This window comes from Homo sapiens, chromosome 15 (assembly GCF_000001405.40).
Source record: "Homo sapiens chromosome 15, GRCh38.p14 Primary Assembly".
Classification (NCBI taxonomy): domain Eukaryota; kingdom Metazoa; phylum Chordata; class Mammalia; order Primates; family Hominidae; genus Homo; species Homo sapiens.
Window position 1 is genome coordinate 34978129 of NC_000015.10, and position 10229 is coordinate 34988357.

The 10229-nt window shown below is 38.2% G+C and overlaps 1 protein-coding gene across 2 annotated transcripts, besides 3 other annotated features; it reads right to left on the reverse strand.

Moving 5' to 3' along the window:
* Positions 1–212: 212 nt before the first annotated feature.
* ZNF770 (zinc finger protein 770) lies at positions 213–10159 on the reverse strand. Of its 2 annotated transcripts, NM_014106.4 has the most exons (3): positions 9988–10159; positions 9429–9545; positions 213–5362 (listed from the first exon to the last, which is right to left on the reverse strand). In NM_014106.4, exon 3 carries the CDS (start codon positions 5304–5306, stop codon positions 3231–3233), a length of 2076 nt encoding a protein of 691 aa, NP_054825.2. In that variant the 5' UTR covers positions 5307–5362; positions 9429–9545; positions 9988–10159; the 3' UTR covers positions 213–3230. The 2 variants fall into 2 exon arrangements, with proteins under 2 accessions (NP_054825.2, XP_011520046.1); XM_011521744.4 differs by lacking the exon at positions 9429–9545.
* Positions 7022–7674: an enhancer, noted in NCBI's record as "NANOG-H3K4me1 hESC enhancer chr15:35277351-35278003 (GRCh37/hg19 assembly coordinates)". NCBI's record gives its function as "activates a minimal SCP1, AML or CMV promoter by ChIP-STARR-seq in primed H9 embryonic stem cells {active_cell/tissue: H9 hESC(primed)}" and the evidence as "EXISTENCE:reporter gene assay evidence [ECO:0000049][PMID:30033119]".
* Positions 8658–8717: an enhancer, noted in NCBI's record as "active region_9185". NCBI's record gives its function as "activates an Ori minimal core promoter by ATAC-STARR-seq in GM12878 lymphoblastoid cells {active_cell/tissue: GM12878}" and the evidence as "EXISTENCE:reporter gene assay evidence [ECO:0000049][PMID:35858748]".
* Positions 8798–8847: an enhancer, noted in NCBI's record as "active region_9186". NCBI's record gives its function as "activates an Ori minimal core promoter by ATAC-STARR-seq in GM12878 lymphoblastoid cells {active_cell/tissue: GM12878}" and the evidence as "EXISTENCE:reporter gene assay evidence [ECO:0000049][PMID:35858748]".

A 10229-nucleotide genomic window follows, 5' to 3' on the forward strand; every position in this document is an offset into this window, starting at 1 on the left:
GTAGGTGATAGGAAGATGTCAAAGGATTTTTTTTTCCCACAGAAGGGAACAGCATGGAAATGTAACATGAACAAGAGCGTAAATGATCAAATATCCATGTAAATTTGGTGTAGAAGGTAGATTGGAGTGGACCTATAAAAGTATCCGACAATCAGTACCTTGGCTCCAATATTTTGTAATTCCCGCCCCGCCCCCCAAAAAAAAGGCCAAACTGTGTAACTTGGAACTTTATTTTTAAAGTATTCTGAAAATTTTCCAAGAATTTTAACCACCACCTACTTCCCTTAAACACACACACATTTTTATCTTACAATTATAACCCCTATTGCAGTACAAAACAAGAAACAATAATTCTAAGTTAGCCAGCCAATCAAACTACTTCAGTAAATGATCATACTACAGCCTGGAATCACTCAAACAAAAAATTCTTCTAGTTCTCTTTAAAGATATTTATCGTTTATTTTTTCATGAAACCAAAGTAATTGATTCAACAATACTAACAGTTCTAGCATGCAACAAACCATCTACTATCTAATGTTTAATCTTCTTAACATGTATATTTTCATTCCTATAAAGTTTCCATAAGAAGCTTGCAATGACAATAAAGGTAAATAAGTACAGTTGTCCCTTGGTATCCATGGGGTATTGGTTCCTGGACCGTCCCCCCAACCCACAGATACCAAAAATCCAAGTATACTCAAGTCCCTTACATAAAATGACATATTTGTATATAACCAACGCACATCCGCCTGTATACTTTATCCCTAGACTAATACCTAATGCAATGTAAATGCTATTTAAATAACTGTTATACTGTATTTTTATTTGTATTATTTTTATTTTTTCTAATATTTTTGATCTGCAATTGGTTTAATCCACAGATGCAGAGTACATGGATACAGAGGGCCAACTGTTTTGTTACAGGTACTTCAAATAGCACTACAGTACATCTTTGACAAAATTTTTACAATATTCCACCTTTCAATATGAAACAGCTTAAAAAGGCATGGGTCAAAAATAAAGTATAGTAGTATCACTTACGCAAATAAAGTCTCAGAATCATACAAGCACAACACTGTTAGGACTCTCCCTGTTTAGGCTGGGAAAAACATTATACAAAACATTTTCTTCAAATAAAATTACATAAATTGCTTAGAAAAATGCCAAAATCAATAATTTCAAACATATTAAGGAGAAAACCTTGAACATTATTGGAAAATATAAACTAGTTATTCCTTGCTTTTAACAGATGAGTTCTTGACAAGTTTTGTGTAAAGCAAATTCTGTAAACCATTATCTTGCTTGCACTGGAGGAACATATCTCAAGGAAACCTAAGAGAAAGTGTTCTTTAAAGCATGTGATTCTCCTGTTTTTGCTGGATGTCTGTATCTACATAATAAACAGGCACACTTCTACATCACTGGGTATTTTACTCAGACTGTCATGTTTCATCTCTGTAAATTAAACCCAAGTTACTTAAAAATCACCTGTGGTAAAAGAAGCAAGCAGATCACCCCCACCTACTATCCCTCCCGCCTCCCCCCTGTCAAAAGAAAGTTCTCAGTTTATGATGCAAAACTTACAATTGTTCATTTATCCACATTCTCAATAGAGGATTTTCCACTATATTTAAGTATGGCAGGATAATTACCCACCTGTTCCTCTTTTCAGCTTAGAAACATAACGGTTCATTCCTTTTATTGCTAGAGAATGTCATTCCTGAAGATTTTATAAACAAAGGCAAATATGAAGGAAAATTTGTAATTATGAAATAAGTCCTTTGTAGTAAAGAATATTTCCCAAATCATAACAGTTCTATTTGGAATGATACCCACAACTCTACAAGCATCTTATCCCTCTACAGGAATGACTACCTTATTAATTAAAATAAAAATTTAACAAGCATCAAAATAAAATTCTTTAGCAATAGACTCCTGCAAAAATAAAAACTAAAACTAGACCTAGTCATTGCCATTTGATCAAACTTAGAACAGGCTTAAATAACAGAACCACTCCATTAAAGAGGCATAGAAAGAAAAGTTTACTAAAATAAATGTAAAAGTCTTATGGAGATGAAGATCTCTAGAATAGTCTTAAGTCTATGACTACTGCTATCATTAATGAGCAAATAAATGACTTGAAATTATTCCTCTGAAAAGGTAAAACTCATACGTATTATGAAAAAGACTATGGCACTTAGAAAATATTCCTGGTAAGTAAACATGGTAAATATAGGTACATCCTAGCCTCTCGCCTACTTTTAAATTATTTTGAGAAAGATAGCACTAGCTGGGAGAAAAAAAAAATCCTTATCACCTGAAGGTGAAATTACCACATAGTCCTAAAAATAAATAGCTTTGAAAAGACCGTCGGGTGCGGTGGCTCATGCCTGTAATCCCAGCACTTTGGGAGGCCGATGCGGGTGAGTCACAAGGTCAAGAGATCGAGACCATCCTGGCCAACTTGGTGAACCCCCGTCTCTACTAAAAATACAAAAATTAGCCAGGCGTGATGGCAGGCACCTGTAATCCCAGCTACTCAGGAGGCTGAGGCAGGAGAATCGCTGGAATCTGGGATGCGGAGGTTGCAGTGAGCCTAGATGGCGCCACTGCACTCTAGCCTGGCGAAAGAGTGAGACTCCATCTCAAAAAAAAAGACCAATGAAAATAATACTATAATTGTCTCATCCATTTTCACCTTTAGTGTCTCTGTAGTTTTTTTAACTTACAAAAAAAAAAAAAAAATTACCAATGCAATTTGAGTCACATGTGGACAAAATTATGCTTTCATATGAAATGTAAAATAAATCAAATATAACAGGGCTATGTGCTGCAGCTAAAAGCCAAGTTTTGCCTCTCAGTCTTTTGAGTATATCTAAAAAGAGATGGCATGTCTTAAGGAATAATTCCTTTAAAAAATGAATGAGGCTAAATTATTTGTACAGCCATCATGGATTTATATTTTTCAATACAGCCAAAGTATATGTTTACAATATTAAAATGCCTACTTTATAGCATCAAATCATGTTCTTGCCTCTAAAATTAACTTGGCTGTTTCTAAAACATTGTATTAATTTTCTATGTATTCTACCTCCTTACTATGCAGGACAAGCAAATGCCTGTGAAACCATTCAGTTTAATGCAGGCCTTTCAATAAAAATGCATTTTAAATAATACAGGCTTTAAAAATAAGATCACCAGAGACCACAATTGTTAGTGGTTGCGACAATTTACATAACCGAATCTAAGGCAACCACTTTCCCTTGTGGTCGTTCTTTAAAGTGAGTAAGCTGATGTCTCTTCCAGTGAGGAGCCTGTCTGAATGTTTTGCCACAAACTGAGCATTCAAATGGTTTCTGCCCTGCATGAATTAGGTAGTGTCTTTCCAGTTTAGATGGAGATCGGAAACTTTTAGCACAAACACTGCATCGGTACAGGAAGACATCATTTTTCTCCTGATGCTCTGAATAACTGCAAAAAGGATTGCTTTGCTCTGATTCCAAAAGTACATTAGGAAGACAGGGTTGCCCGGTGCTACCAGGAATAAAATCCTGTGACTCTGCCTTAACTCCTGACATTTGATCTGACTCTGAGACCTCGTATTTTTGAACACCAGGAGCCTGACATTGTTGGGAAGCATTATAGTTAACATTATTACCTGAATGATTAGAAAGATTGTTGAAGTTTCCAAATTCTACTTGGCAAAGAGATGCATAAGGACTCTTTTCATTATGAGTCTGTTCATGTCTTTTTAAGTGAGCTGACTGTCTAAAAGATTTCCCACAAATATTACAGCCAAAGGGCCTCTGTCCAGTATGAATTAAATAGTGTCTTTTTAGTTTGGATATAGAAGGAAATACCTTCTCACATTTGTCACAAGGACATATCTTATGTCTAGTACGTATGTTTTCCCTTGGAACTGAAAAACCACACTGAAGTACCTCACAGTTATTAAAGAATTCCTCACCTGATGAACCACAGATTGACAAGTCTTTCTTATTCACTGAATTATCAATGCTTAATATGTTTTCTGTCGTAAGGATGCCTTTCAAATTTTTTCCCATATTTTGCCAAGAAAATGGCAAAGTCAATGTTTTCTTCTTTCTATTGCCAATTGTTTTATATGTTCCATGTTTGCCAAGAGAACCCACAAATGTTCTCTGGGTTTGTTCAGAGCTCTGCTCACCAGAAATAAGATCACAATTTCTCAAGAAACTCTTTTTAAATACTTTTTTCTCAGATTGAAAGTTATCTAATTTTTTACTCCTAGCACGCTTAAGCTTGGCCAAGATTTTTTTAACAATGGTTTTATAGTTGTAGCTTCTTTTGAACCTGCTTGGAATTTTGCCACTTCTAGCAGCAAAACAGCTGTGTTCATTGAGAATCTGCTCTGATTCAAAACACTTTTCACACTTTGGACATTGAAAAGGGACAATATAAATTGAGTGGACATCAAGTGGATTATTCTCCTCAGATTCACCAATCTCACCATTTTCAAAACCACCCTGATTTGCATTTAACTTATTAGGCAGGGGGCGAGATTCTGTACGCCTCTTCTTTAATAAAAGAGCCCGAAAAGCCTTATTCCTAGTATGGATTTGTTTATGCTTCAGAAGTTTGCTTTGAATCTTAAATCCTTTTTGACAAAAACAACATTGAAAAGGTCTTTCTTCTGAATGTGTAAGTTGGTGGATTTTTAAGTGAGTTGACTGTCGAAAAGATTTAGTACACAAGACACATTTAAAAGGCCTCTGACCAGTATGAATAAGTACATGCCTATCAAGTTTTGACTGTGATGGAAACATCTTGCCACAGATTGTACATGCATGAATATTCTTTCTTCTTTTCATGCTATACATGGGATCAGACTTAGAGCACGGGTGTAATGCCCATCTTTCCTCTGTGGTAAAAGTATTATACACTCCATACATTGACTTTTCTTGCTTGGCCTCCAGCAATCTTCTGACCTGTTTAACATTATTCTGATAGGTTTCATTGTGAAGTTGTTGGTGCTTCACAAATGTCTTCAGATTTTTAAAGTGACGCTGACAAATACTACATTTAAAAGGCAGACTATGAGTTAGTTGATGCCTCTCCAGATGAACTAGTTGTCTAAAGGTTTTATGACACACATCACATTCAAATGGCTTTTGACCAGTATGAATGAGATAGTGCCTAGCTAATTTTGATGGTGTTTCAAAGTGCTTAAAACAAATATTGCAAACATATGGCCTGTTTCTAGGTAGTTTGTTGGCTACCACACACTGTTGAATCTTTAGCATTTTTAAATTGTTTTCAGCCATCATATTCTTCAATGATATACTCTGATGAGCTCCATACTGTTCTTAAATTCCACAGATGTCTAAAAATTAAAGGAAAAAAAGTATTAATTTTAAAATTATTTATTCATATGAAAAGTAACTTAAGTTGTTCTTTGGCTGAAGATATTAAAGGCAAAGGAGAATCTGGACTTAGTGTTTACAAGTTAATAATCATTTTAAGTAATACTTTAGAATAATAATACTAATTTTATACATACAGAGATATGAGTCTTTAAAAGAAATATCTAAAAATCAATACAATTTTAAGCTATTTTTCTAATTGAGATGCTACATTAAATGAGGACTAGGCTGAATTTCTTAACATGAAATAGATATTTTAATTCCAATTTTCCTATTTCATTATTAGGTAGATTTGCCAGTATTTAGTTGCCATCATTTTAAAAAATGGGCTAGAAAGGTAACAAATCAAAACATAATACTAAAAATAAGATATACTTGCATTCAATTATAGCACATTGTAAATATGCTCTTAGAATAGAACATTTCACTTATCATAGGTGGATTTCTTAGCCACAAATTTAACATGAGTTATTCTCAATTACTTCTTTAGACCAACAAGGACAGTGTGGACTAGGAGAAAATTCACAGAAGACCTGGGTTCTAGTCCTGGATTTGCCACTATACGATCTTGGTGGTAGGAAGAAGGAAATACAGAGTTCTCATCTGTAAAATGGGGAAAAGGTCTCCTGGATTGTCTACCACCACAAGCTGTTGTCAAAAATCAATGGAGATAATGTATATGAATGTGCTAAAAAACAGTGAAGCAATACATAAATCTAAGGAACTATTTAGCTCAACACTAATCAAATTTTAAAATGTTATCCTTATCGTCTTAGTAACATTTTTAAGCGTTTCTCAATAAGAGATAAACCCACTGACTAAATTTACAGGTTTTAAAAATTTCTCACCTGGCGCCGTGGCTCACGCCTGTAATCCCGCACTTTGGGAGGCTGAGGCTGGTGGATCACCTGAGGTCAGGAATTTTGAGACCAGCCTGGCCAACATGGTGAAACCCCGCCTCTAGTAATAATACAAAAATTAGCCGGGTGTGGTAGTGCACACCTGTAATCCCAGCTACTCAGGAGGCTGAGGCAGGAGAATCACTTGAACCCAGGAGGCAAAGGTTACAGTGAGCCGAGATCGTGCCATTGCAATCCAGCCTGGGTGAGAATCCATCTCAAAAAAAAAAAAAAAATTCTCCTTTTCACTTTGTTGTGAAATTCCCAAAAGACAAGCATAGAGGTAATAAGATCGACAAATTGGTTACTTATATAGCTATCTATGACTAAGTAATTGAAACTTGAGTGTGCTTTGCCCATCAGGCAATATAGTAAAAGGGTCATTTTGGTCTTAAGCGTTAATATAAAGATTTAAAAAACTGGCCCAGTGCAGTGGCTCACACCTGTAATCCCAGCACTTTGGGAGGCCAAGGCAGGGAGATCACATGAGGCCAGGAGTTTAAGACCTGCCTGAACAACGTGGCAAAACCCCGTCTCGACTAAAAATACAAAAATTAGCCAGGCGTGGTAGTGCACATATGTTAATTCCAGCTACTTGGGAGGCTGCAGCACGATAATTGCTTGAACTGGGGAGGCGGAGGTTGCACTGAGCCAAGATTGCACCACTGCACTCCAGCTTGGGCAACAGAGCGAGAGACTGTCTCAAAAAAAAAAAAAAAAAAAAGTTTAGCAAGCACTTTCATAACTATCTTATACTCTATCTTCTATCAGAGAAGCCAATTTTCTTTTCATTATTACTTTACTATGGCACTGCCCTTAAATAAAGGAGTCAGAGATTTTTTCAAAAAAAAATTAAAAGCTGTGCTAGCTCTTTCAATATAATGTATCTTCTAGATCAGAGAGTTCTAAGTCTGGAGTTCTTTTGTCAGCTGATCTGGCAAACATCCAACAAACACGGTGTTACTATTTTCTCCTAGAAGATACCTTCAACCCCAAATCACAAACATACCCACTGTGGTTCTTTAGCAATGTGAATCAGAAACAGAAAAAAAAAATTACTGAACAAATATCTTTAGTTACTTTATCACAGTGTTTTTCAAACTGCAGGATATTACTCATTAATGGATTGTGAATTCAACTTAGCAGATCATGATCAGCACTTTGTTATTTAAAATAAGAGCGGAGGCTGGCATAGTGGCTCATGCCTGTAATCCCAGCACTTTGTGAGGCCGAGGCAGGGGATCACCTGAGGTCAGGAGTTCGAGGCTAGCCTGGCCAACATGGTGAAACCCTGTCTCTACTAAAAATACAAAAATTAGCTGAGTGTGGTGGTACATGCCTGTAATTTCAGCTACTTGGGAGGCTGAGTCAGGAGAATTGCTTGAACCCAGGAGACGGAGGTTGCAGTGAGCCGCCAAGATTGCACCACCACACTCCAGCCTGGGAGACAGAGCAAGACTCTCAAAAAAAATTTAAAAATAAATACATAAATAAAAATAGGGGATAAATAATAGTAGAAAGTATCAGACTGCATACTATATAGCAAGGATAAATATTGTTTTGTGAAACTTCTGTAGGAAGAAGTAAAAAAGTTTATGAAAGCTGTTCTTAACATGCCTCTTCATACTAGACAAAGGAACCTACAACAAATCGACCACTTTATTCAAAGTGGCCAAGTGATCTATTAAGGTGAGAAAGATAGGGGCCCATAGTATGAGACAAGATTACTAAAGAAAGCAAGTGTCTGGTTTTCTTCACTTGACCCATATTATTCCAAAATATTTATTTTAAATAAAAATCATCTAATTACAGGCCAAATGGAAAATGCCACATAAATCCACGCAAAATAAAACAATCTGACTGTAAGCCAGTATAGTAGTAAAATATATCATATAACCCAGATATCAATGTTAACCAACAATCAACTCTTGGTGCTATGAATATGCATTTTCAGTAGCTTGAATTAGAGAAATTAGAGGTGAACAAGCTCCAAAGTCTCTAAACATGCCGATACAGAGCAACAGTCATGATAATTAAAATTAAGTCATGAATCCAGTGAACTGCAAAGAACTTGGCAGCAATTAGGTGCCAAGGTAGTCAATCAGGACAATGAGTCAAACCAAAAGTAATCAAGCCTTTATTCACTTACTGTGACAGTGCAAGCAAGTGGTAAAAAGAGGCACTGGCTCCCCAGTGGTCTACTAAATACAAGGACACTGGGTGAGGGTCAGTTGATGCAGTGCATATGAGGTAATCCTCTCACTGAAAGGAGCCCCTAACAAAAATCTCCTGCCTCTTATGGAACTTCAGAATAGGAAAGGGAGGGGAAGGTCTAGGAGTGAAAGAAGCTGGGTCAAAAATGGAGAAAAGTGTCTTAGCCACGGTCCTTCCTAGGAGGGCCTCCAAATGGAGGTACCCAGGCTAGGAAAGAAGTTATGGGATTTGCATATCTAGCAGGAGGGGCAGGGCAAGTCCTTGACTGCAACCCCCTCCAGAAAACTGCAATGCACCGGCCCATATCGAGTATGGTGTGGGAGGACAGCTTGGCCCTTGAGGCCAGTCAGGCAAAGCCTGGTAATTGTCCAATGTCAGGACTGAATGATCACACAGGATTTTGGTATAAAGCCAGATTCAATTCCTTTTGTATGTTTCTTCTTCCCTTTAATAAATGCTTTCGTGGAACACGCCTAAAAGAAAAAAATCACACACCACAACTACCTCTGATTAAAACAGGGATTGGCTACCTACAGCTCCTGTACCAAAAAGGAGCTACGGTTAATCATCCATTGTTAGCACTAAGATTGGATAACTGTTGTCACTTGCCTCCCACCACGTGGAAAAGCACTTACTGGGAGCCCTAGATTGTTAGAACCATTAGTGGCAAGTGGTGATCCTATCTCCTGTTTATGAGAGTCAGGTTAGGGATCCTCACCTCACGCACTCATGGAGCTCCAAATCCCATTTCAACCGATTTTTGTTGATAACATAAAAATAAAAAAGACTGTAATTTTTCTTATCTTAAACTGAAATAAAAGAATAGTAGATCTGCTCAGTGGTTCAATCCAGAATTTATCCTGACAAGAACAAGATACTCTACGTGAAGACTGTAAAAACTGTAAAAACTGACCTCAATAATATCCAATGTTGCCTCAAGGCTGAAAGCCTGTTGATTTTCTTGTCTTGACTAGTACCATTAAAACGATGTGAGGATTTCACGAAAGTAAGCGAACAAGAAATGAAAGACCTAAGAGAAACACACACAACTTTCAGTTGGGGAATAATCTCCGGCGGCTGCTTCTGCCCCACTCGCCCCGGGCCCATTCTCTTGGCCTTGAACCCTCACCTCTCCCTCCCAGTGGACTACACTGGACAAAGGACACTGACACACAGTCCTCGTTCTAAAGGCCCACAACCAATAATAAGCACGTAATGGTCGAGCCGAGTCCAGAAACCACAAAATCCCACGCCAGGAAAGGAAGGGTAAGGGTAAAAACTGCTTTGGCTGCAGCCAGGATGAAAACGCCACATGTGATACAACCCACAGCAACAACAAAAAAAAATCCCTCTACGCCTTCCTCTCAAATTTCTGCTCCGCGTGAGACGCACTCAATAGGTGGGGAAGTGAGAAAGCAAAAGGAGCTCAGGAACTGAGGTTGTGGAGCCCCCGTTCTTGGGTCCCCAGGCACCTTGGCGGTATTGAGGCAGGTCCGACCCTCCCTGGGGGTCGCTCCACTTCTCAGTCGGGTTTCTGAAGTCCTCCTCACGCATCTGGAGCTGGCGAGGGCCCGGGAGGCACGCACCTCAGGCCCAGGTGCCGCGAAGGCAGCGCGCGCACGTCCGCAGGGCCGGCGCGGCAACGGGCTGAGCGCGCAGGCGCGGCGCTCTGGCGCGCCCAGGGACACAGTCCGGCTGGAAACAAGCTCCCCCC

Excerpts from the sequence above, each read along its gene's own strand:
- ZNF770 (XM_011521744.4), bottom strand. The coding sequence starts at position 5,306 with ATGATGGCTGAAAACAATTTAAAAATGCTAAAGATTCAACAGTGTGTG.